Here is a 27,943-nt window from a genome sequence, read left to right as displayed (position 1 = left end):
AAAGTTTGAAACACTGGCTCAGGAGAGTGTTTGTAAACTTCTCCTCAAACTAAGAAATTTACTCGAGGATCCAGTCTGGCCCCATTGATTCCTAAGGTCACATGCTCCCCTTTTCTCCAGCGTGGATCAAGGGGATTGGTTATTACTAGCTCTAAGGTGTTACCTTGTCCCTTAGTACAGGAAGGGCCATTTTTTCCTTTCTGAAGGTGGACTGGATCCTTTTCATTTTTTATCCAAGTGGCCCAAATGACACAAGACCAGTATCCACATTCATTTCCACACAGTCCTAATTCATGACAAATGTACTTATTTTTGGTCACATAGCCTTTTTCCCAACTAAAAGAGCTATATCCCCTTCCTAACTTATTGCTATTAATGACACCACAGGTATCAAATTTCAAGATTGTGCATCTGGGCACCCCTTTTTCTTCTGTTCTGGCTAATACTTTACTTGTATCATTTATGAGTCCCCACCAGTCTTCAGTCCTTAATTTTATTTCAAAAACTGTGGACATGGGAGGCTCAAAGGGGTCATAACACACATCTGGCCAGTCATTTCCTGGGCTACATACCTTATACTGAGTGTCGTTATATAAACATATTCCTTTTAAATTTCCTGGGCATTCATAGTAACTATAGAACAGAAAGATTGTTGTAACTTGTTGTGCTACCTCGGTAACCTGATGTATACACTGAGAGCAGTCCTACATGTGAGGAAAATCAGTGGAAGTTTTTACTATACAAGTCCAAATTATAAGGAAAGTGAGTCCCACAATGATCCTCCTCATGTTTTGGCTGTGCGTAGACCAGTCAGCTTCCAGGTGTGACTGGAGCAGGGCTTGTCATCCTCCTCAGAGTCACTTTGCAGGGGTTGTCCAGGCTCTGTTTTGCCTCCCAGGTTTCAGCGGCTGCAGGATTCACATGGCTGTGGTGGACCCAGGATGGGATTCCTTCTACCTTTACAGCCTTGGGGGTGGTCAGGATGATGGTCTGAGGTCCTTTCCACCATGGCCACAAAGGGGCTATGTTCCAGTCCTTGATCCACATGCGATCACCTGGAGAGAACGGGTGAACTGGGGAGAGTAAGCTGATGGGATACCTCTCATTTACCCAAGTTGAGATTGTTTGTGTAATTTTTCCTAAAGCCTGTAGCTGTCGCTGTAATTCAATTTCACCTGACACTTGGGGAGTGCCTGAAAGCCCCAGTAGTATGGGAGGAGGCCTATGATACGGTATTTCCTAAGGGGAGTGTCCTGTTTTCTTAGAAGGAGTGCATCTAATTTTAAACAATATCATAGGAAGAGACTGTATCTGCTTTAATCCTATTTCCTGACATACTTTCCCTAAACTATTTTTGATAGTCCGATTCATTCACTCCATCTTTTCCAGAACTCTGAGGTCAGTAGGTGGCACATAGCTTCCAAGTGATTCCTAATGCCTTTGCTGTCTTCTGTACCAAGTCAGCCACAAATGCCCGCCCATTATCTGAGCCAATTCATAAAGGCAGTCCAAACCTAGGAATAAAATCTCAGAGAAACACATGGGTTACCTCATAGGCCTTTTCAGTTTGTGTTGGATACGCCTCCACCCACTCAGAGTAAGTACACACAAGAACCAGCAAATACTTGTTACCTCCACATTTCGGCATTTCTGTGAAATCCACCTCAAAATCCTCAAAAGGAGCCGCTCCATAAGCTTGTATGCCGGGTGGAACAGTGGGGCCTTACCTCGCATTGTGCTGTTGGCAAATAATGCACTGCTGTGCTACAGCTTTGGCAAGGGCTGGCAAGTATGAGATGTAGAAGTAGCAGCTTAACAATTTTTCATGTGACTCTTGACCTAGATGAGTGGTTTCATGCATGGCCAATATGATTGTGGCTCCCAGCAATTGTGCCATAGCTACTCTCCCATCTGGCAGTCTGATCCATCCTCCTTTTATTACTTGCCCCCCTTCTGCATGGAAGAAGTCTTTTTCTTCCTTAGAATAGGTAGGTACCAGGTCAGGTGTTTGAGGGAGTAAGGGGGCTGCTACTGATGCCCAGTAAGGGGTAGATGCTGCATTTTGAGCTTCTGAATCAGCTCAAGAGTTTCCTAAGGCCACTGAGGTGGAGGCTTGCTGGTGTCCCCTGCAGTGCATGACTGCTGCCTTCTGAGGTTTCCACACTGCCTCTAGTAATTGTAGAATTACTTGTTGATATTTTATGTCCTTTCCCCCAGAGTTTAACAGGACCTTTTCCTTATATAATGCTCCATGCACTTGGAGGGTTAGAAAAGCATATCGAGAGTCAGTGTAGATGTTTAGTCTTACCTTCACTGAGTTCTAGAGCCCGAGTTAAAGCAATGAGCTCAGGCTTCTGGGCTGAAGTGCCCTGTGGCAACAGTTTGGCTTCAATGGCAGCATCCAAAGTTACCACTGCATATCCTGCACATCTTTCTCCTTATGGGTTGATGAAGCTACTCCCATCCACGTATAACTCCCAGTCTACTGATGCCCATGGCTGGTCCCAAAAGTCAGGTCTGCTAGAATAAACTGAGTCCAACACCTCTACACAGTTACGCTTGACCAGGCTCTCTGATACTGGGAGCAGGTGGCGGGATTTAGGGTGTTACAGACTTCAGTGGTTATGCGGGGATTTTCACATAGCAAGCTTTGGTACTTGATTAAACTAGCATTTGGTAGCCAATGATGTCCTTTGGTATTCATCAAAGTTACCACAGCATGGGGGGCCTTTATATTCAGGTTTTGCACAAGGGTTAGTTTATCTGCTTCTTGTGCTAACAGGGCTGTTGCTGCCAGGGCCCTTAGACATGGTGGCCAGCCTTTGGAAACCCCATCTAGTTGTTTTGAGAGATAGGCCACTGGTGTAGGCCAGGGCCCCACAGTCTGGATTAAAACTCCAACTGCCGTTTTTTCTCTTTCTGACACATAGAGTGTAAAGGGCTTTGTCAAATCTGGTAGTCCTAGGGCTGGGGCCGACATAAATTTTTCCTTTAACTTACAAAAGGCTTGCTGTTGTAGAGGTTCCCATTCAAAGCGCTCCCAATCGCCCCACTTTGTAACCCTGTACAAAGGTTTTGCTAGCATTGCAAAGTTTGAAATCCCTAATCTGCAAAACCCTACAGCTCCTAGGAATTCCCTTACTTGCCTCCTGGTTTTAGGTTCTGGTAGGCTGCAGGTGACCTGCTTTCTTTATGACCCCAGGCTGCACTCCCCTTTCTGAATAGTGAATCCCAGGTAGCGTACCTGCTGTCTGCAGATCTGAGCTTTCTTCTTGGACACCTTATACCCACAGTCCTCCAGGTGCTGAAGCAGGGCATCCATCCCTTTTGCGCACCTGACTGCCGTGGAGTGTCCCAGCAGAAGGTCATCCATGTACAGGAGCAAGATGCAGCCTAGGTCTTTAGCAGGAAACTTTTGCAGGTCTCGAGCCAGGGCCTCCCCAAAGATAGTAGGGGAGTTCTCAAACCCTTGGGTAAGCTGGGTCCAAGTGTACTGAGTAGTGACACCTGACTCCGGATCTTCCCACTGAAAGGCAAACAGCTTCTGGCTCTCAGGAGATATTCTGATGCTAAAGATGGCATCTTTTAAGTCTAGACAGGTAAAGCAGCTATCCTCAGCCAGCAGCAGCCCTAACAATGTGTAAGGGTTAGGAACTGTTGGGTGCAGAGTCACTGTAGCTTGGTTGACCAAATGCAAGTCTTGTACTGGTCAGTAGTCCTTGGTCCCTGGCTTAGGGACAGGCAGGAGGGGAGTGTTCCATGGAGACTGGCAAGGAACTATAATTCCATAGGCTTTCAAGTGCCTGAGTTGAGCCTGGATTCCTTCAAGAGCTTCCCTGGGAACTGGATACTGCTTTTGTCTAATTGGTTGGGCCCCAGGCTTAACTTCTATGAGTACAGGGGCTTGGTTGACCACCAGTCCTGGAGGATTATCCTCTGCCCATATTCAAGGCCATTGCTTAGCTAGAGCTGGTTTTATCCCTTGGCCTGGCTCGGTTAAAAAAAAGTCTCCATTCTTCTTCCTGGGGGACTGTAAGGGCCATGATAACTCCTGTTCTGGGTAACTTTTGCTGTAAAGAGCTCTGTTTTGTAAAGGAGATGGTGGCTGTCAGCTTGCTAAGCAAGTCTCTTCCCAGCAAGGGCAAGGGACAGTCAGGCATGTACAAGAACTGGTGAACTATTTCTTGTCCACCCACCGAGCAGGTCCATGGTAGATAGAAAGCCTGCTTAGTGGAAACTCCTGTTGCTCTGGTTATATCAATGGTTTTCTTGGATAAGGGGGCAAATGGGGTGGTCACTACTGAATGTTCAGCACCAGTATCGACCAAAAACTTAATGTCCTTGCCCCCAATTGTAATCCTGACCATGGGATCCTCGGGGGCACTTAAGCCTGGTCCCCTTCAGTCCAATAGCCCTTCAGCCAGATTGAACAGAGTTCCCTCATCTTTATCTGAGGTCTTTTGTTCCAAATTACCTTGCTTTTCCTTCAGTTGGGTACACTTATCTTTCCAATATCCTGTTTCCTTACAATAGGTGCATTGGTTACATTGCAAGCATGGGTGATTAGACTGGATATTCTTCCCAGAACCCCCCTTTCCCACTCCTTTCGAGGGAATTCCCCTAATGGCCACAGCCAGTAAGTTGGCATTTCACCTGGCCTGGCATTCGCCTTCCTTACGGCTTTCTCTGTGGCTTATTGCATCTCTATTTACAAACACTTGATTGGCTATTTCCAGTAACTGTGAGGTATTCATACCTGCAAACCCAACCTGTTTCTGCAATTTTCTCCTGATATCTTCTGCACTTTGACTAACTAAGGCCATGTAAATCGTGCACTGATTTTCAGGGCTATCTGGATCAAAGGGAGTGTACATACGGTAAGCCTCACACAGTCTTTCATAGAATTGTGCTGGACTCTCCTCTTTTCCTTGGATGACCTTAGAAACCTTATTTACATTTGTAGCCTTTTGAGCCCCTTTCTTTAGACCTTCTATTAATCCCTCACAGTACCGTCTTAGCCTCTCCATGTCTGGTCCCTCGTTCGGGTCCCAGTGGGGGTCTGCTCCTGGCAGCTGAATTCTTATATATTCTTGGAGGTTTTGGTAATCAGCTGGGACGCGCCTCTCTAGCCACTTAGTTGCCACCCAGAGCACCCTTTGCCTTTCATCTGTATTAAAGAGGTACATGAGCAGCTGGTGGCAATCAGCCAAAGTAGTATTATGAGTCTGTATAATAGTTTGGAGCAAGTCAATTAAAGCTTAAGGGTTTTCGGTATAAGATGGTGTATTATTTTTCCAATTGATGAGGTCAGCAGAGAAGAAAGGTTGATACACAAAGGCACGCTTTTCCACCATGTGTCCATCCTCATCTACCCCAGTATATCACTGCTCTCTCAGGGGCATTTGGATTCCAGTCTTGGGCCATAATGGAGCTGCCAATGGAGGATTTTCTCCTGTGGCTTCACTTCCTCTTTTGTCTACTCTGGGTGGTCTAGGAGTGTGGTTATCTGGTGGAGGTGTACATGCTATGGGCTCAGGAGTGGGGAGCCCCTCTCAATAAGGGAGGGCGGGTACTGCTGTTACCAATTCCTGCCACGATTCTTCTGGTGTTGGGTTGGACAGGACTTCTGGTACCGACTTACCTCAGCGGGTGGAGCGAGAACCTTCCTTAACTAACTGTCCCTTTGCTACTAGTACTGTTGCTGCCTGTCCTCTTAACCACTGTGGGGGGTTCAAATCTAGCTGTAACCAAGAATCTATATATGGCAACTGATCTGGGTGCCCTGGCTTACAGGTTACCCTGTGCCATACCTTCGAGACAAGGGACCTGTGCAGGCTTCCTTCTGATGGCCAACCCACCTCTAATGCTGGCCAGTCTATCTCACACAAAGTCCTAAGTTTTCCTGGTGTCATAGTAATTCCATAGTATCCCTTAAATCCCTTTTTGAAAATTTTCAACATAGTTCCTAGTGGGTTGGACTTACTTTGTGCCTGACCCATGTTTCCTCGAGACAAAACACCACGCTCACACCACACGCACACCACAAAACAAAGAATGGGTAAAAAGGGCACACATAGACTTTTTCAGTTTACACCAAACCAGAATCAGAACCAAAATCAGAGTATTGAGAAATCCAAGCCAGGTCAAGACCAAAACCAAAGGATCAAGCAATCCAAGTCAAGTCAAAAACAAAAAAACAAAATGCCGGTATGGGCATGCCATGGGTGATCAGGCCATGCTTCCACTCAAATGGAGTAGGCAAGTTCCAAAGACTAGTCTTACCAAGTTTCAGATGTCCGGACTCCAAGTGCCAGTTTCTTACCATTGTTAGTCACTGTGTTGATCCTCCATGGGGGCCTGCCACACACTGCTCTGGTGAGGTGTTCCACTGGGGGAATTGCCTACCTGGAAGCGCTCTCAGGATCTGCATCACTCAAGCTGGCTGGAGTCCCCTGCAGGGATGCTCCACAGGGCAGGCCTAAGCCGCCTAAGGGGCTGCCTCAACCATCCATTAATCACATTGCTTCCTGGTCAGGGAACCAAGAAATGTAGCAGGACAAGCTGCAGACATAGCCCCTCAGACACCGAGTTAAAGAAGGAAGGGCTTTATTTGGCCAGGAGCTTTGGCAAGACTCACATCTCCAACAACAGAGCTCCCCAAGTGAGCAATTCCTGTCCCTTTTAAGGGCTCAGAACTCTAAGGGGGTCCACGTGAGAGGGTCGTGATCAATTGAGTAAGCAGGGGGTATGTGACTGGGGGCTGCATACACCGGTAATTAGAAAGGAACTGAACAGGACACACATCTTCACAGTGCCTTTTTATGCAAATAACTGATTAGGTCAGGGGTTGATCTTTAACTACCAGGCCCAGGGTGTTGCACCGGGCTGTCTGCTTGTGGATTTCACTTCTGCCTTTTAGTTTTTACTTCTTCTTTCTTTGGAGGCAGTAATTGGGCATAAGACAATATGAGGGGTGGTCTCCTCCCTTATCACTAGAGAAGCTGAAGGTCTGTTTGTGGGAGAAGTTTCTGACTTTACCTGGAGCTAAGTCAATTTGGAGAGTAGAGAGAAATACAGGGGTAGAGAAAGCAGCAGAAAGGCCCTGGGAGCTTGCTGGGTCCCCTAGCAGGCCATTCCTGCATGACACCACAGGGATCCATTGGAAGGGTGGCCAGAGGAGCAGGGGGTAAAACTCCACAGAGAGAATGAAATCTCTGGTTGAACTCTGTAACAATTTGAACGGGGTGAGAAGCCTCCTGGCCAGAACTCAGGGGCGGGCGCAAATCCAGTGTGCGGACTCCACTGGCAGGGGAAGAACCAAGCCCCTATTTTCACAGCTGGGAGGTGGATAGCCCGGGGCTGGTTTTCAAGCCCCTATCACTCTCTGCCTGGAAACGGTCTGGGGGCTGTTATGGGGGGAACGATGGGAGTGAGATTGACCCTTCAGTTTGTGTGGGAGCTGGGTGAGGCCTGTGACTGCTGGCTTTCCTGCACTTCCCTGACAACCTGCATGGCTCAGCAGAGGCAGCCATAATCCTCCTAGGCACACAACTCCAGTGACCTGAGAATCTCACCCCCATCCCCCACAGCAGCTGTAGCAAGACCCGCCTGAGGAGAGTCTGAGCTCAGACACACCTAGCCCCACCCCACCTGATGATCCTTCCCTACCCACCCTGGTAGTGGAAGACAAAGGGCATATAATCTTGGGAGTTCTAAGGCCCCACCCACCACCAGTTCCTCCCCATAATACCACAGCTGATGCTCTCTGGAAAGCACCACCTCCTGGCAGGAGGTCAACCAGCACAAAAATAGAACATTAAACCACCAAGGCTAAGAACCCTCACAGAGTCCATTGCACCCCCCACCCCCAGCCACCTCCACCTGAACAGCCACTAGCATCGACAGCTGAGAGACTCATAGACAGTTCACATCACAGGACTCTGTGCAGACAATCCCCAGTATGAGCCCAGAGCCAGGTAGACTCAATGGGTGGCTAGACCCAGAAGAGAGACAGCAATCATTGTGGTTTGGCTCACAGGAAGCCACACCCATAGGAAAAGATGAAGAGTACTACATCAAGGGAATATCCTATGGGATAAAAGAATCTGAACAACAGCCTATAGCTCTAGACCTTCCCTCTGACAGAGTCTACTCAAATGAGAAGGAAGCAGAAAACCAACCCTGGTAATATGACAAAACAAGGCTCTTCAACAGCCCCCCAAAATCACACTAGTCCACCAGCAATGGATCCAAGCCAAGAAGAAATCCCTGATTTACCTGAAAAAGAATTCAGGAGGTTAGTTATTAAGCTAATTAGGGAGGGACCAGAGAAATGCAAAGCCCAGTACAAGGAAATCCAAAATGTGATACAAGAAGTGAAGGGAGAAATATTCAAGGAAACAGATAGCTTAAAGAAAAAGCAATAAAAAATTCAGGAAACTGTGGACACACTTTTAGAGATGTGAAATGCTCTGGAAAGTCTCAGCAATAGAATTGAACAAGTAGAAGTAAGAAGTTCAGAGCACGAAGACAAGGTCTTCAAATTAACCCAATACAATAATGACAAAGAAAAAAGAATAAGAAAATATGAACAAAGCCTCCAAGAAGTCTGGGATTATGTTAAATGACCAAACCTAAGAATAATTGGTGTTCCTGAGGAAGAAGAGAATTCTAAAAGCTTGGAAAACATATTTGGGGGAATAATTGAGGAAGACTTCCCTGGCTTTGCTAGAGACCTAGATATCCAAACGTGAGAAGCACAAAGAACACCCAGGAAATTCATTGCAAAAAGATCTTTGCCTAGACACAGTGTCCTCAGGTTATCCAATGTTAAGACAAAGGAAAGAATCCTAACAGCTGTGAGATGGAAGCACCTATCAGATTAACAGCAGATTTCTCAGCATAAACCCTACAGGCTAGAAGGGATTGGGGCCCTATCTTCAGCCTTCTCGAACAAAACAATTATCAGCCAAGAACTTTGTATCCAGTGAAACTAAGCATCATATATGAAAGAAAGATACAGTCTTTTTCAGACAAACAAATGCTGAGAGAATTTGCCATTACCAAGCCACCACTACAAGAACTGCTAAAAGGAGCTCTAAATCTTGAAACAAATCCTGGAAACACATCCAAACAGAACATCTTTAAAGCATAAATCTCACAGGACCTATAAAACAAAAATATGTTAAGAAGCAAAAGTAAAGAAAAAAAACCCCAAAGTACACAGGCAACAGAGGCCACGATGAATGCAATGGTACCTCACATTTCGATACAAACATTGAATGTAAATGGCCTAAATGCTCCACTTAAAAGATACAGAACTACAGAATGGATAAGAACTTACCAACCATCTGCTGCCTTCAGGAGACCTCTCTAGCACATAAGGTCTCACATAAACTTAAAGTAGTGGAAAAAGGCATTTCATGCAAATGGACACCAACAGCAAGCAGGGGTAGCTATTCTTATATCAGGCAAAACAAACCTTAAAGCAACAGCAGTTAAAGACAAAGAAGGACATTATATAGTGATAAAAGGGCTTGTCCAACAGAAAAATATCACAATTCTAAACGTAAATGCACCTAACACTGGAGCTCCAAAATTTATAAAACAATTACTAATAGACCTAGGAAATGATATAGACAGCAACACAATAATAGTGGGGCACTTCAATACTCCACTGACAGCACTAGACAGGTCATCGAGACAGAAAGTCAACAAAGAAAAAATGGTTTTAAACTATACCTTGGAATAAATGGACTTAACAAATATATACAGAACATTTCATCTAACAACTGCAGAATATACATTCTATTCAACAGCACATGGAACTTTCTCCAAGATAGATGATATGATAGGACATAAAAGGAGCCTCAAAAATTTTAAGAAAATTGAAAGTATATCAGGCACTCTCTCAGACCACAGTGGAATAAAACTGGAAATCAACCTCAAAAGGGACCTTCAAAACTGTGCAAATACATGGAAATTAAATGACTTGCTTCTGAATGAGCACTGAGTGAAAAACGAAATCAAGATGGAAATTAAAAAATTCTTCTAACTGAATGACAATAATGACACAACCTATCAAAACATCTGAAATACAGCAAAGGTGATGCTAAGAGGGAATTTCATAGCCCTAAATGCTTACAACAAAAGACTGAAAGAGCATAAAACTGACACTCTAAGGTCACACCTCAAGGAAGTAGAGAAACAAGAACAAACCAAACCCAAACCCAGCAGAAAAAGGGAAATAACAAAGATGAGAGCAACACTAAATGAAACTGAAACAAACAAACAAAAAATACAAAAGATAAATGAAACAAAAAGCTGGTTCTTCAAAAAGATAAATCAGATTGATAGACCACTGGCAAGATTAACCAAGAAAAGAAGAGAGAAAATCCAAATAACCTCACTAAGAAATGAAACAGGAGATATTACAACTGACACCACTGAAATACAGAAGATCATTCAAGGCTACCATGAACAACTTTACACACATAAACTTGAAAACCTAGAAGAGATGTATAAATTCCTGGAAAAATACAACCCTCCCAGGTTAAATCAGGAAGAATTAGATACCCTAAACAGACCAATGACAAGCAGTGGGATAGAAATGGTAATTTAAAAATTACCAACAGAAAAAAGTCCAGGACCAGACAGATTCACAGCAGAATTCTACCAGACATTCAAAGAATTAGTACTAATCCTTTTGACCCTATCTTACAAGATAGAGAAGAAAGAACCCTCCCTAATTCATTCTATGAAGCTATCATCACCATAATACCAAAACCAGGAAAGGACATAACCAAAACAGAAAACTATAACCAAAAAAGAAAACTACAGACCGATATCCTTGATGAACAAAGATGCTAAAATCCTTAACAAAATACTTGCTAACTGAATACAACAGCGTACCAAAAAGATAATTCACCATGATCAACTGGATTTCATAACAGAGATGCAGGGATGGTTTGACATACACAAGTCAATAAATGTGATACACCACATAAGCAGAATTAAAAACAAAAATCACATCATTTCAATAGATGCAGGAAAAGCACTTGACAAAATCCAGCATCCCTTTATCATTAAAACCCTCAGCAAAATTGGCATATAAGGGACATACTTTAATGTAATAAAAGCCATCTATGGCAAACCCACAACCAACATAACACTGAATGGGGAAAAGTTGAAAGTATTCCCTCTGAGAGCAAGACAAGGATGCCCACTGTAGCCACTCCTCTTCAACATAGTACTGGAAGTTCTAGCCAGAGCAATCAGACAAGAGAAAGAAATAAAGGACATCCAAATTGGTAAAGAGGAAGTCAAACTGTCACTGTTTGCTGACGATATAATTGTTTACCTTGAAAACTCTAAGGACTCCTCCTAGAACTGACAAAAGAATTCAGCAAAGTTTCCAGATACAAGATTAATGTACACGAATCAGTAGCTCTTCTATACACCAACAGTGACAGAATTCAACGCCTTTTACAATAGCGGCAAAAACAAAAAACAAAAAAAAACAACTTAGGAATATACCCAACCAAGGAGTTGAAAGACCTCTACAAGGAAACTAAAAAACACTGCTGAAAGAAATCATAGATAACACGAACAAATGGAAACACATCCCATGCTCATGCATGGGTAGAATCAATATTGTGAAAATGGCCATACTGCCAAAAGTAATCTACACATTTAATGTAATCCCCATCAAAATACCACCATCATTCTTCACAGAATTAGAAAAAACAATTCTAAAATTAATATGGAACCAAAAAAAGAGCCTGCATAGCCAAAGCAAGACTAAGCAAAAAGAACAAATCTGGAGACATTACACTACCTGATTTCAAACTATGCTATAAGGCCATAGTCACCAGAACAGCATGGAACTTGTACAGAAATAGGCACATAGACCAATGGAACAGAATAGAGAATCCAGAAATAAACCTAAATACTTATAGCCAACTGATCTTCGACAAAGCAAACAAAAACATTAAGTGGGGAAAGGACACCCTTTTCAACAAATGGTGCTGGGATAATTGGGTAGTCACATGTAGGAGAATGAAACTGGATCCTCATCTCTCACCTTATACAAAAATCAATTCAAGATGGATTAAGGACTTAAACCTAAGACCTGAAGCTATAAAAATTCTAGATGATAACATTGAAAAAATCCTTCTCGACATTGGCTTAGGCAAGGATTTCATGACCAAGAACCCAAGAGCAAATGCAATAAATACAAAGATAAATAGCTGGGGCCTAATTAAACTAAAGAGCTTTTGCATGGCAAAAAGAACAGTCAGCAGAGTAAACAGACAACCCACAGAGTGGGAGAAAATCTTCACAATCTATACATCTGACAAAGGACAAATATCCAGAATCTACAACTAACTCAAACAAATCAGTAAGAAAAACTCAGGCAGGAGAAAGAAATAAAGGGTATTCAATTAGGAAAAGAGGAAGTCAAATTGTCCCTGTTTGCAGATGACATGATTGTATACCTAGGAAACCCCATCATCTCAGCCCAAAATCTCCTTAAGCTGATAAGCAACTTCAACAAAGTCTCAGGATACAAAATCAATGTGCAAAAATCGCAAGCATTCTTATACACCAATAACAGACAAACAGAGAGCCAAATCATGAGTGAACTCCCATTCACAATTGCTTCAAAGAGAATAGAATACATAGGAATCCAATTTACAAGGGATGGGAAGGACCTTTTCAAGGAGAACTACAAACCACGGCTTAATGAAATGAAACAGGACACAAATGGAAGAACATTCCATGCTCATGGATAGGAAGAATCAATATCATGAAAATGGCCATACTGCCCAAGGTAATTTACAGATTAAATGCCATCTCCATCAAGCTACCAATGACTTTCTTCACAGAATTGGAAAAAACTACTTTAAAGTTCATACGGAACCAAAAAAGAGCCCACATTGCCAAGACAATCCTAAGCCAAAAGAACAAAGCTGGAGGCATCATGCTACCTGACTTCAAACTATACTACAAGGCTACAGTAACCAAAACAGCATGGTACTGCTACCAAAACAGAGATATAGATCAATAGAACAGAACAGAGCCCTCAAAAATAATACCACACATCTACAACCATCTGATCTTTGACAAACCTGACAAAAACAAGAAATGGGGAAAGGATTCCCTATTTAATAAATGGTGCTGGGAAAACTGGCTAGCCATATGTACAAAGCTGAAACTGATCCCTTTCTTATACCTTATATAAAAATTAATTCGAGATGGATTAAAGACTTAAATGTTAGACCTAAAACCATAAAAACTCTAGAAGAAAACCTAGGCAATACTATTCAGGACATAGGCATGGGCAAGAACTTCATGTCTAAAACACCAAAAGCAGTGGCAACAAAAGCCAAAATAGACAAATGGGATCTAATTAAACTAAAGAGCTTCTGCACAGCAAAAGAAACTACCATCAGAGTGAACAGGCAACCCACAGAATGGGAGAACATTTTTGCAATCTACTCATCTGACAAAGGGCTAATATCCAGAATCTACAAAGAACACAAACAAATTTACAAGAAAAAAACAAAAAACCCCATCACAAAGTGGGTGAAGGATATGAATAGACACTTCTCAAAAGAAGACATTTATGCAGCCAACAGACACATGAAAAAATGCTAATCATCACTGGCCATCAGACAAATGCAAATCAAAACCACAATGAGATACCATGTCACACCAGTTAGAATGGTGATCATTAAAAAGTCAGGAAACTACAGGTGCTGGAGAGGATGTGGAGAAATAGGAACACTTTTACACTGTTGGTGGGACTGTAAACTAGTTCAACCATTGTGGAAGTCAGTGTGGTGATTCCTCAGGGATCTAGAACTAGAAATACCATTTGACCCAGCCATCCCATTACTGGGTATATACCCAAAGGATTATAAATCATGCTGCTATAAAGACACACGCACACATATGTTTATTGCGGCACTATTCACAATAGCAAAGACTTGAAACCAACCCCAATGATAGACTGGATTAAGAAAATGTGGCACATATACACCATGGAATACTATGCAGCCATAAAAAATGATGAGTTCATGTCCTTTGTAGGGACATGGATGAAGCTGGAAACCATCATTCTCAGCAAACTATCACAAGGACAAAAAACCAAACACTGCATGTTCTCACTCACAGGTGGGAATTGAACAATGAGAACACTTGGACATAGGAAGGGTAACGTCACACAATGGGGCCTCTTGTGGGGTGGGGGGATGGGGGAGGGATAGCATTAGGTGATATACCTAATGTAAAAGATGAGTTAGTGGGTGCAGCACACCAACATGGCACATGTATACACATGTACCAAACCTGCACATTGTGCACATGTACCCTTGAACTTATAGTATAATAAATATATATACATATAAAAGAAAAAACAAACAATCCCATTAAAAAGTGGGTTAAGGACATGAATAGATAATTCTCAAAAGAAGATGTAGAAATGGCCAACAAACATATGAAGAAATGCTCAACATCACTAATGATCAGGGAAATGCAAATCAAAACCACAGTGTGATACCACTTCACTCCTGCAAGAAAGGCCATGATAAAAAAATTAAAAAACTGTAGATGCTGGCATGGATGTGGTAAACAGGGAACACTTCTACACTGCTGGTGGGAATGTAAGCTAGTACAGCTGCTAGGGAAAACATTATGGAGATTCCTTAAAGAGCTAAAAGTAGAACTACCATTTCATCCGGCAATCCCACTACTGGGTATCTACCCAGAGGAAAAGAAGTCATTATTTGAAAAGGATACTTGCACACACATATTTACAACTGCACCATATTTGTAGTCTTCTATCCCTCACCCCCCTCCCACTCTTCCTCACAAGTCCCCAAAGTCTACTTCATCATTCTTTTTTTTTTTTTTTTTTTTGAGACAGAGTCTCGCTCTGTCACCCAGGCTGGAGTGCAGTGGCGCGATCTTTGCTCACTGCAAGCTCTGCTGTAAATTGTGAATTTACAATTCACAATTGCAAAATCGTGGAACCAACCCAAATGCCCATCAAAGAATGAGTGGATAAAGAAACTGTGATTGACATGTGTGTGTGTGTATATATATATGTAATAAAATACTACACAGCCACAGAAAGGAATGAGTTAACAGCATTTACAGTGACCTGGATGAGATTGCAGACTGTTATTCTAGGTGAAGTAACTCAGGAACGGAAAACCAATCATCATATATTCTCACTGACATGTGGGAGCTAAGCTATGAGGATGCAAAGGCATAAGAATGATGCAATAGGCCAGGCGCGGTGGCTCACGCCTGTAATCCCAACACTTTGGGAGGCTGAGACGGGTGGATCACGAAGTCAGGAGATCGAGACCATGCTGGCTAACATGGTGAAACCCCGTCTCTACTAAAAATACAAAAAATTAGCCAGGCGTGGTGGCGGGTGCCTGTAGTCCCAGCTACTCAGGAGGCTGAGGCAGGAGAGTGTCATGAACCCAGGAGGCAGAGCTTGCAGTAAGCAGAGATCGCGCCACTGCACTCCAGACTGGGCGACAGAGTGAGACTCTGTCTCAAAAAAAAAAAAAAAAAAAAAGAAGAATGATGAAGTAGACTTTGGGGACTTGTGAGGAAGAGTGGGAGGGGGGCGAGGGATAGAAGACTACAAATATGGTGCAGTGTATACTGCTCAGGTGATAGGTGCACCAAAATCTCACCAATCACCACTAAAGAATTTACTCATGCAGCCAAATGCCACCTGCACCCCAATAACTTATGGGAAAAAAACTGGACAAAGGACTTAGAATTTTCACAAAAGGTAAACATATAGCCAATAAATGGGTGAAATGGCACTCAGTATCATTAGCCGTCTTATAAATGCAAATTAAAACTGAGTTAGCACCATCCATTAATATGGCTGAAACTTAACACCAAATATTGGTGATGATATGGATAAAATTAAACTTTCAAAAATTTCTTTAGTAATGAAAAAAATAAATCAAGTGATTCTATGGATAATGCTGATTGAAATATTGATGCAGTTGTCTGAGTTATTCAGACAAAAATATCTACTATTAGGAAGAAAGGATTTAATTATTTCTTGAGTTACCTAGGGTAGATTTCTTCAGTGATAAACTTCACAGGATAATTGGTCAACCTCAATTTTGCTTTGCTTTGCTTTAGACTCTAGGCATAAATGAATATCTTTTATATTAATCCCATAAGTCTACATTTTTTGTTCCTTTGAGCAGTGTATGAAAAAAATTGTTTGAAATAGTGATATTACCATAATCAACAATTACTTATTGGTACTACTTTGCTGATGATTTTTTTCTCTCCACAACATGTTATGCTAGTCTATAAATGTTATGTTATATATAATGATACAGGAAATACAAAGAAATTATTTAGGCAGATAGTGAGGGCAAAAGAGTCCTTGGGAGAACTCCTTCTAACAAAAAGCAGTTCTAGAAATCATTTCTTTTTTAACAAAGAGCAGCCTGAAAGATCAAGCTGCAAACATAGATAAGGAAGCTGGAAGCTTGCACAGAGGAATACTGGCAGCTGCACCAACAGAAAAGGGCTACCTGGGGCTAGGCATATCCACCATGGAAGCTCCATCTTCCCTTTTTTGTTAGCACGTGCTCAGAAAGAAATGGGAAACATGGAGAAGCTCAGGCAGAAAACCCACCTGCATAATAAAAGATTGTGGTGGAGGCTGCCAGAGATTTGCGCCCTATGCAGATGGCACAGCTGGTCCTAACCAGTTCTTCACACCCTATGTAGATCAGACACCACCTCCCCACTAGCTCATCTATGAAATTCCCTGCATTTCACCACAGATTGGCAACCCATTTTTCTGGGACCCCTCTCTGTGGCAGAGAGCTATTCTCTTTCTTTTGCCTATTAAATTTCCACTCTTAACCTCACTCTTTGTGTGTCTGGTGCCCTTGATCTCTGTGGCCATGAAACAACAAACCTCAGGTGTCACCCCAGACAATGAGGCCACTTCAATAAGTTATATAAAATCAATTAATGCCCGACTTTCTTAATTCTGGACATTGAAAATGCTATACATTCACCTAGAGTTAACATTGCAGACTACTTCTTTTAAAACAAATTTAATGTTGTGGTCTCCAAAGTAGGGTTCATATATCCCAGGGGATGTTCAGCTTGATTCTTTCAAATTATTTAAATTTGAAAAACCAAGATGTGATCCAAAACAGTAGTAGTATCAACATACCTGTGCCAATGGTCTTCAAAATTCCTTCAGGCAGTATTTCTCCACAATAATCTTCACAATCGATTAAGAAAAGTTGCTTGTATTTATGTTTCTAATATGAAGTGGCTACTTTTGGGGACGGGGGCTGTATTAATAATGTACGTATGTTCTATAATTTTCTAAAAAGCATTATGGCTTTGCTGGTAAATCATCAGAGTAATTCTCCTCTCTAGTCAGGAAAAGATATAATTTCTGGTTAGAATGGTTAGAATAAATGCTATCCAGCCCAACTGACTGCCTATTGCTTGAATATATTGCTTTTTAAAATTCTCACCAAGCATTCTCCTAGCTCAGAGTTTCTTGCTATAATCTGCAGAGCCTCAGGCGCTCAGAGGCCCTGCTTCAAGGGCTACTGTTGGGAGGAGATGGGGAAGAGTGGGAAAGGTTCATAACAATCTGGCATGGATCAAGTTCTCCGTATTCACTCATTGAACAAAAACAGCTGGAATAGCATTTGATTCATTTAATGAGCTTCTGCACTGAATTTAATTTGCAGAAAGTGTTTTATTGCTCAAGGAAGTGACCTTTTGGTTGAGCCTTAAGGATCAGTAGAAGTTAACTGTGCAAAAATATGATAAAGACACAACCATTTGAGTGGCAAAATATGTGGCCTTAAATAAGCTACAGAGGAGAAATGTCAGAGAGAATGGCAGAGTAATGATCTCCAAAAATTCTTCATAAAAACAGGAAAAAATTTTCAGTCAACTTTTTCAGAACTCTAGAAATTAATCAAAGGCTTTCAGTAATCTGGAATGTGTTTATTCAAGAAAGATGGCTGAATCTCAGTAAAAACAGTGAAATTTGTAGCATTTTAACTTTGCCCTGTTTATATCCTTCCTCTCTAGCTGGGTGGTAGGCTTGAAAACCAACAGCCTCAACCATGGCTGAAAAGCAGCAGCCCCCGCCTACTCCCGGTAACCACCAGAAGAAACTAAATAGGCTCAGATCTCTTTCAGAGACTCATTACCATAGAAATGACATTATTTAACCTGCCTAATTGCTCCCTGGAGGACCCCACCTGCAAGTTTTTCTTTATTTGATGTGATTCAACATGGAGCTCATCTAGTGGAAAAAGCCATTTTTCCAGATTTGTCAGAACAATTAGAGGCAATCATTTAATTTTGTGGCTGCCAGAGGTGGTGGATAACTATTGGGATAAACAATAGAAAAACTAAAAGCTTACAATGAAAAGATATGGAATAAGATGTCCATGGGGATTTTGAAAAGTTCTGTTATATGCCTAGGAATCTGGAAGGTAATGCACATGCTTAGCACTAAGTATACACAGGACTCTGCATACTCAGAAAATACCTTAGAGAGCCCTAAGCTGTCACCTTTAGATGATCTTGAAAATCTGTGCAAACAAGAAATGAAGGCTAAGACAGAGTTTTAAACTACCTGGCTGAGTGTTGAAGGCATGTGCCAACACACATGGGGCCCTTGGCAAAGACTGGGAGGCCTATTAATCCCAGGCATTAGGGAAATCTCTGTTAATCATTATCTGACCACTAACCCAACAGAGCAGAGACTTCAGTGGCCACACATGCCAAAGAATACAGACTTAACCAAAGGATTTGAGAAAAGTCACTAAACAAACAAATAGCAATAGCAGCAAGCCCTGGGAAGAGAGGAGAATCCAACTTCCAGAATTGCCACAATATTTTATTTAAATGTCCAGTTTTCTATAAAAAATTACAAGACATGCAAAGAAACAAGAAAGTAGGTCCATGAATGGGAGTTGAGGGTGGAGGATGCATTCCATAGGATCTGTCCCTAACCCTAACCCTAATCTGAGGGTGCTGTCAACCTGAAATAATTGGAAGAATTGGAATCCAACTTAAAAAGCTTTGCTCAAGTGAAAAGTTGAGAATGCCATCCAGGAAACAGACTTCAGAGAAATGGGGTCAGCATTCCAAAGTTATAAGTTAAGGTCTTGCTTATATATTACACAGAAAACAAAGACATTCAGTAGGATTATAACATTATTTAATACAGGGCTGGTTTATGAGTTATAACAATTTAGTTACAATTTTTCTTTTCTTTTCAGTTTGTTTTCTTTATAAATTATTTTCATTTCCTGTCTATTTTAAGACTATATTTAAAATTTTATCCCAGACAAGGTAATAGCCATGAAGTCATGTGAAAGAGGAAAGGAGAAAGTTAATCTATAATGAACATCAATGGTTAAGAGGGAAGGGGTCTTTCTTGGTACCCTTTAGCCATTTATAATATTTTACAACACAAAGAAGGCAAGGAAAGAGACTAGTTTATAATCAGAGAGACAGGTTACAGCTTTCTAGGTTACAGCTGCCTGTTTATGTGACTGAGGTCTCAAATATTTTAAAGTTCCAACAACTTGGACTTTGAATTCCTTAGTTTCACAAAGTCTAGATGTTGGAATTACTAGACAAAGACTTTATATCAGCTATTGGCCAATAAACCCGTGAAAAGATGCTCAACATCATTAGTGATTAGGGAAATGCAGACCAAAACCAAAATGAGATACACTTCATGCCTACTTGAGTGGCCACAAGAAGAAAGACAAATAATAACAAATGTTGATGAGAATGTGGAGAAATTTGAACCCTCATACATTGTTGGTGGGAAATCAAAATGATGCAGCTGCTTTGGAAAACAGTTGAAAATTCCTAAAAGCGTTTAACATAGTTACCATATAACCCAACAATTCCACTACTTGGTATATGCCCAAGAGGACTGAAAACATACGTAAATGCAAAAACTTTTATGTAAATGTTAATGGCAGCATTATTCGTAGTACCCAAAAAGTGGAAACAACCCCAATGTTCATCAATTGATGAATACATAAACAAAATGTGGTAAAGCCATGCACCACATAATGACATTCAGTCAATTACTGATCATACATAGAAGAGTAGTTCCATAAGATTATTATGAACCTGGAAAATTCCTATCACCTAGTGAATCCCCCCAAAAATTAACAGTGAAGTGTTTAGCAGTAGCTTTTGCAGACTGTAAAATGTTTGAGGGGCCAGGGGTGGTGGCTTACGCATGTAATCCCAGCACTTTGGGAGGTCACGGTGGATGGATTGCTTGAGCTCAGGAGGTCAAGAACAGCCTGGGTGATATAGTGAGACCTCATCTCTACAAAAAAATTAAAAAAATAGCTGGGCCCAAGGGTGCATGCCATAGTCCTACCTACTCAGGAGGCTGAAGCAGGAGGATCACTTCAGCATGGATGGTGGAGGTTGTAGTGAGCTGAGATCATGCCACATGGACTCCCACACTGAAAGGTTTGCATTAATACAGAGGAATGTTCATGGTACACTATCTGCTTACAAGCATATCTGTGATTGGAAAAAAAAAATCCACCATAAATATATTTCTGAAAAGAATGACACTTCCTCGAGAAGAGCTTCAGGCAGGTCCTTCAGGAGATGTTTCAGAAGACATTGTTATCATAAGAGATGGCAGTTCCATGCATGTCATTGTCCCTGAAGATCTTCTAGTGTGACAAGATGTGGAGGTGGAAGATGTAATATTGATTATCCTGACCCTGTGTAGGCCTAGGCTAATGTGTGTATTCATGTCTTACTTTTTAACAAAAATGTGTAAAAGGAAAAAAATAGTTTTAGTAGAAAAATACATATATTTAGCATAAGGACATAAAGAAAGAAAATATTTTTGTGCAGCTGTGAAATGCGTTTGTGTTTTAAGCTAAGTGTTTTCACAAAAAAAGCCATAAAATAGAAAAAACAAAATGTTTATAAGGTAAAAAATTACATTAAGCCAAGGTTAATTTATTATCAAAGTAAGAAAATTTTTAAAAATAAATTTAGTATAGCCCAGGTGTACAGTATTTATACAGACTACAATAGTGTAATATCCTAGGTCTTCACGTTCACTGATCACTCACTCACTGACTTACCCAGAGCAATTTCCAATTGAGTAAGCTGTATTGTACTATACAGGTATACCATTTTTATTTATTTATTTATTATTATACTTTAAGTTCTGGGGTACATGTGCAGAACGTGCAGGTGTGTTACATAGGTATACACGTGCCATGGTAGTTTGCTGCACCCATCAACCTGTCATCTACATTAGGTATTTCTCCTAATGCTATCCCTCCCCTAGTCCCCCACCCCATGACAGGCCCTGGTGTCTGATGTTCCCCTCCCTGTGTCTATGTGTTCTCATTGTTCAACTCCCACTTATGAGTGAGAACATGTGGTGTTTGGTTTTCTGTTCTTGTGTTAGTTTGCTGAGAATGATGGTTTCCTGCTTCATCCATGTCCTTGCAAAGAACATGAACTCATCCTTTTTTATGGCTGCATAGTGTTCCATGGTGTATATGTGCCATATTTTCTTTATCCAGCCTATCATTGATGGGCATTTCTGTTGGTTCCAAGTCTTTGCTATTGTGAACAATGCCACAAAAACATATGCATGCATGTGTCTTTATAGTAGACTGATTTATAATTCTTTGGATATATACTTAGTAATGGGATTGCTGGATTGCCACACTGTCTTCCACAATGATTGAACTAATATACACTCCCACCAACAATGTAAAAGCACTCCTATTTCTCCACATCCTCTCCAGCATCTGTTGTTTCCTGACTTTTTAATGATCGCCATTCTAACTGGTGTGAGATGATATCTCATTGTGGTTTGATTTGCATTTCTCTAATGACCAGTGATGATGAGGTTTTTTTCATATGCTTGTTGGCTGCATAAATGTCTTCTTTTAAGAAGTGTCTGTTCATATCCTTTGCCCACTTTTTGATGGGGTTTTTTTTTTTTTGTAAATTTGTTTAAGTTCTTTGTAGATTCTGGATATTAGCCCTTTGTGAGATGGATAGATTGCCAAAATTTTCTCCCATTCTGTATGTTGCCTGTTCACTCTGATGATAGTTTCTTTTGCTGTGCAGAAACTGCTTAGTTTAATTAGATCCCATTTGTCAATTTTGGCTTTAGTTGTCATTGCTTTTGGTATTTTCGTCATGAAGTCTTTGCCCATGCCTATGTCTTGAATGGTATTGCCTAGCTTTTCTTCTAGGGTTTTTATGGTTTTAGGTCTTATGTTTAAGTCTTTAATCCATCTTGAGTTAATTTTTGTATAAGGTGTAAAGAAGGGGTCCAGTTTCAGTTTTCTGCATATGGCTTGCCAGTTTTCCCAACACCATTAAATAGGGAATCCTTTCCCCATTGTTTGGGTCTGTCAGATTTGTCAAAGATCACTTGGTTGTAGATGTGTGCTGTTATTTCTGAGGCCTCTGTTCTGTTCCATTGATCTATATATCTGTTTTGGTACCAGTACCATATTGCTTTGATTGCTGTAGCCTTGTAGTATAGTTTGAAGCCAGGTAGCGGGAGGACTCTAGCTTTGTTCTTTTTGCTTAGCATTATCTTGGCTATGCAGGCTCTTTTTTGGTTCCATAAGAAATTCAAAGTAGTTTTTTCCAATTCTGTGAAGAAAGTCAATGGTAGCTTGATGGGAATAGTATGGAATCTATAAATTACTTTGGGGATTACGGCCATTTTCACGTATTGATTCTTCCTATCCATGAGCATGGAATGTTTTTCCATTTATTTGTGTCCTCTGTTATTTCCTTGAACAGGGGTTTGTAGTTCTCCTTGAAGAAGTCCTTCACATCCCTTGTAAGTTGTATTCCTAGGTGTTTTATTCTCTTTGTTGCAATTGTGAATGGGAGTTCACTCATGATTTGGCTTTCTGTTTGTCTATTATTGGTGTATAAGAATGCTTGCGATTTTTGCACATTGATTTTGTATCCTGAGACTTTGCTGAAGTTGCTTATCAGCTTAAGGAGATTTTGGGCTGAGACGATGGGGTTTTCTAAATATACAATCATGTCATCTGCAAACAGAGACAATTTGACTTCCTCTCTTCCTATTTGAATACGCTTTATTTCTTTCTCTTGCCTGATTGCCTGGGGCAGAACTTCCAATACTGTGTTGAATAGGAGTGGTGAGAAAGGGCATCGTTGTCTTGTGCCAGTTTTCAAAGGGAAGGCTTCCAGTTTTTGCCCATTCAGTATGATATTGGCTGTGGGTTTCTCATAAATAGCTGTTATTATTTGACATATGTTCCATCAACACCTAGCTTATTGAGAGTTTTTAGCATTAAGGTGTGTTGAATTTTGTGGAAAGCCTTTTATGTTGATATAATCATGTGGTTTTTGTCTTTGGTTCTGTTTATGTGATGGATTATGTTTATTGATTTATATATGTTGAACCAGCCTTGCATCTCAGAAATGAAGCCAAATTGATTGTGGTGGATAAGCTTTTTGATGTGCTGCTGAATTCATTTTGCCAGTATTTTACTGAGGATTTTTGCATCGATGTTAATCAGGGATATTGGCCTGTAAATGTCTTTTTTTGTTGTGCCTCTGCCAGGTTTTGGTATCAGGATGATCCTGGCCTCATAAAATGAATTAGGGAGGAGTTCCTCTTTTTTTATTGTTTGGAATAGTTTCAGAAGAAATGGTACCAGCTCCTCTTTGTACCTCTGGTAGAATTCAGCTGTGAATCCATCTGGTCCTGGGCTTTTTTTGTTGGTAAGCTATTATTTACTGCCTCAATTTCAGAACTTGTTATTGGTCTATTCAGGGATTCAACCTCTTCCTGGTTTAGACTTGGGAGGGCGTATGGATCCAGGAATTTATCCATTTCTTCTAGGTTTTCCAGCTTATTTGTGTAGAGCTGTTTACAGTATTCTCTGATGGTAGTTTGTATTTCTGTGGGATCAGTGGTGATATCCCCTTCATCATTTTTTATTGCATCGATTTGACTCCTCTCTCTTTTCTTCTTTATTAATCTGTCTAGCTGTCTATCTATTTTGTTGATCTTTAAAAAAATAGCTCCTGGATTTGTTGATTTTTTGAAGGGTTTTTCATGTCTCTATCTCCTTCAGTTCTGCTCTGATCTTTGTTATTTCTTATCTTCTGCTAGCTTTTGAATTTGTTTCCTCTTGCTTCTCTAGTTCTTTTAATTGTGATGTTAGGGTGTAAATTTTAGATCTTTTTGCTTTCTCTTGTGGGCATTTAGTGCTATAAATTTTCCTCTAAACACTGCTTTAGCTGTGTCCCAGAGATTCTGGTGTGTTGTGTCTTTGTTCTCATTGGTTTCAAAAAACTTATTTCTTTCTGCCTTAATTTTGTTATTTAGCCAGTAATCCTTCATGAGCAGGTTGTTCAGATTCCATGTAGTTGTGCAGTTTTGAGTGAGTTTCATAATCCTGAATTCTCATTTGATTGCACTGCGGTCTGAGAAACTGTTATGATTTCCGTTGTTTTGCATTTCCTGAGGAGTGTTTTACTTCCAATTATGTGGTCCATTTTAGAAGTGCTATGTGGTGCTGAGAAGAAGGTATATTCTGTTGATTTGGGGTGGAGAGTTCTGTAGACGTCTATTAGGTCTGCTTGGTCCAGAGCTGAGTTTAAGTCCTGAATATCCTTGTTAATTTTCTGTCCCGTTGATGTTTCTGATATTGACAGTGGGGTGTTAAAATCTCCCACTATTATTGTGTTGGAATCTAAGTCTCTTTGTAGGTCTCTAAGAACTTGCTTTATGAATCTGGGTGCTCTTCTTGTTGCATTGATCCCTTTACCATTATATAATGCCCTTCTTTGTCTCTTTGATCTTTGTTGGTTTAAAGTCTGTTTTATCAGAGACTAGGATTGCAACCCCTGCTTTTTTTTGCTTTCCATTTTCTTGGTACATATTCCTCCATCCCTTTATTTTGAGCCTATTTGTGTCTTTGCACATGAGATGGGTCTACTGAACATAGCACACCAATGGGTCTTGACTCTATCAAATTTGCCAGTCTGTGTTTTTTAATTGGGGTATTTAGCTTGTTTATATTTAAGGTTAATATTGTTATGTGTGAATTTGATCCTGTCATTATGATGCTAGCTGGTTATTTTGCCTGTTAGTTGACTCAGTCTCTTCATAGTATCAATGGTCTTTACATTTTGGTATGTTTTTGCAGTGGCTGGTACTGGTTGTTCCTTTTCATATTTAGTGCTTCCTTCAGGAGCTCTTATAAGGCAGGTTTGGTTGTGACAAAAATTCCTCAGCGTTTGTTTGTCTCTAAAGGATGTTATTTCTCCTTCACTTATGAAACTTATTTTGGCTGGACATGAAATTCTGGGTTGAAAATTCTTTTCCTTAAGAATGTTGAATATTGGCCCACTGTCTTCTGGCTTGTAGGGTTTCTGCAGAGAGATCTGCTGTTAGTCTGATCGGCTTCCCTTTGTGGGTAACCCAACCTTTCTCTCTTGCTACCCTTAACATTTTTTCCTTCATTTCAACCTCGGTGAATCTGATAATTATGTGTCTTGGGCTTGCTCTTCTCAAGGAGTATCTTAATGGTGTTCTCAGTATTTCCTGAATTTGAATGTTGGCCTGTCTTGCTAGGTTGGAGAAGTTCTCCTGGATAATATTCTGAAGCGTGTTTTCCAACTTGTTTCCATTCTCCCCGTCACTTTCAGGTACACCAGTCATAGGTGGATTTGGTCTTTTCACATAGTCCCATATTTGTTAGAGGCTTTGTTCATTCATTTTTACTCTTTTTTCTCTATTCTTGTCTTCATGCTTTATTTCATTAAGTTGTTATTCAATTTCTGATATTGTTTCTTCAGCATGATCGATTTGGCTATTTATACTCGTGTATGCTTCATGAAGTTCTCGTGTTGTATTTTTCAGTTCCATCAGGTCATTTATGTTCTTCTCTAAATTGGCTTTTCTAGTTAGCAATTCCTCTAACCTTTTCTTAAGGTTCTTATCTTCCTTGCATTGGGTTAGAACATGCTCCTTTAGCTCAGAAGAGTTTGTTATTACCCACCTTCTGAAGCCTACTCCTGTCAATTTGTCAAACTCATTCCCCTTCCAGTTTTGTTCCCTTGCTGGTATGGAATTGTGATCCTTTGGAAGAGAAGAGGCATTCTGGTTTTTGGAATTTCTGCCTTTTTGTGCTGGTTTCTCCCTGTCTTTGTGGATTTATCTACCTTTGGTCTTTGATGTTAGTGATGTTTGGATGGGGTCTCTGAGTGGACGTCCTTTTTTGTTGTTGTTGATGTTACTCCTTTCTGTTTGTTAGTTTTCCTTCTACCAGTCAGGGCCATCTGCTGCAGGTTTGCTGGAGGTCTACTCCAGACCCTGTTTGCCTGGGTATCACCAGCAGAGGCTGCAGAACAGCAAAGATTGCTGCCTGTTCCTTCCTCTGGAAGCTTCATCTCAGAGGTGCACCCCCCAGATGTCAGCTGGAGCTCTTCTATATGAGGTGTCTGTTGCCCCCTGCTGGGATGTGTCTTTCCGTCAGGAGACACGGGGGTCAGGGACCCACTTGAAGAGGCAGTCTGACCATTAGCAGAGCTGGAACTTTATGCTGAGAGATCTACTGCTCTCTTCAGAGCCATCAGGAAGGGACGTTAAGTCTGCTGAAGCTGCGCCCACAGCCACCCCTTCCCCCAGGTGCTCTGTTCCAGGGAGATGGGGGTATAAGTCCCTGACTGGAGCTGCTGCTCCTTTTTTTTCAGAGATGCCCTGCCCGGAGAGGAGGAATCTAGAGAGGCAGTCTAGCTACATCAGCTTTACTGAGTTGCAGTGGGCTCCGCCCAGTTTGAACTTCCTGGTGGCTTTGTTTACACTGTGATGGGAAAACTGGCTACTCAAGTCTCAGTAATGGTGGACACCCCTCCCCCAACTAAGCTCAAGCATCTCAGGTCAACTTCAGACTGCTGTGCTGGCAGCAAGAATTTCAAGTCAACAGATCTTAGCTTGCTGGGCTCTGTCGGGGTGGGATCCGCTGAGCTAGACCACTTGGCTCAATGGCTTCAGCCCCTTTCAGGGGAGTGAACGGTTCTGTCTTGCTGGTGTTCCAGGCGCCACTGTGGTGTGAAAAAAAAAACTCTTGCAGCTAGCTTCGTGTCTGCCCAAATGACCACCGAGTTTTGTGCTTGAAATCCAGGGCCCTGGTGATGTAGGCATCCAAGGGAATCTCCTGGTCTGCAGTTGAGAAGACTGTGGGAAAAGCGTAGTATCTGGGCTGGAGTCCACTGTTCCTCATGGCACAGTCCCTCATGGCTTCCCTTGGCTAGGGGAGGGAGCTCCCCGACCCCTTGTGCTTCCCGCGTGAGGTGATGCCCCTCCCTCCTTTGGCTTGCCCTCTGTGGGCTGCACCCGCTGTCTAACCAGTTCCAGTGAGATGAACCAGGTACCTCTGTTGGAAATGCAGAAATTACCTGCCTTCTTTATTGATCTCACTGGGAGTTGTAGACTGGAGCTGCTCGTATTTGGCCATCTTGCCAGCAATCTCCCAGGTGTACCCTTTTTAAATCTTTTATTCCAAATTTTAACTGCACCTTTTCTATATTTGAACATGTTTAGATATACTGATTATCATGCATGTCCGTGTGAAGAGACCACCAAACAGGCTTTGTGTGAGCAACAAGGCTTTTTATTTCACTGGAGTGCAGGTGGGCTGAGTGTGAAAAGAGAGTCAGCAAAGGGAGATGGGGTGGGGCCGTTTTATAGAATTTGGGTAAGTAGTGGAAAATTATAGTCAAAGGGGGTTGTTCTCTTGTAGGCAGGGGTGGGGGTCACAAGGTGCTCAGTGGGGGAGCTTCTGAGCCAGGAGAAGGAATTTCACAAGGTTAA

General features: G+C 41.4%; 1 long non-coding RNA gene across 1 annotated transcript, besides 3 other annotated features; it reads right to left on the bottom strand.

The window, feature by feature from the left end:
• Window positions 1-479: 479 nt before the first annotated feature.
• LOC124901043 (uncharacterized) lies at window positions 480-9,381 on the bottom strand. The gene is made up of 2 exons (XR_007058901.1): window positions 9,344-9,381; window positions 480-3,526 (listed from the first exon to the last, which is right to left on the bottom strand). It is a non-coding gene; the product is annotated as an uncharacterized LOC124901043 (long non-coding RNA).
• Window positions 7,393-7,894: an enhancer, noted in NCBI's record as "H3K4me1 hESC enhancer chr5:111858695-111859196 (GRCh37/hg19 assembly coordinates)". NCBI's record gives its function as "activates a minimal SCP1, AML or CMV promoter by ChIP-STARR-seq in naive H9 embryonic stem cells {active_cell/tissue: H9 hESC(naive)}" and the evidence as "EXISTENCE:reporter gene assay evidence [ECO:0000049][PMID:30033119]".
• Window positions 7,708-7,827: an enhancer, noted in NCBI's record as "active region_22909". NCBI's record gives its function as "activates an Ori minimal core promoter by ATAC-STARR-seq in GM12878 lymphoblastoid cells {active_cell/tissue: GM12878}" and the evidence as "EXISTENCE:reporter gene assay evidence [ECO:0000049][PMID:35858748]".
• Window positions 26,773-27,272: an enhancer, noted in NCBI's record as "H3K4me1 hESC enhancer chr5:111839317-111839816 (GRCh37/hg19 assembly coordinates)". NCBI's record gives its function as "activates a minimal SCP1, AML or CMV promoter by ChIP-STARR-seq in naive H9 embryonic stem cells {active_cell/tissue: H9 hESC(naive)}" and the evidence as "EXISTENCE:reporter gene assay evidence [ECO:0000049][PMID:30033119]".

This window comes from Homo sapiens, chromosome 5 (genome assembly GCF_000001405.40).
Source record: "Homo sapiens chromosome 5, GRCh38.p14 Primary Assembly".
NCBI classification, from domain to species: Eukaryota; Metazoa; Chordata; class Mammalia; order Primates; family Hominidae; genus Homo; species Homo sapiens.
This window is presented reverse-complemented; position numbering and strand designations above follow the sequence as displayed.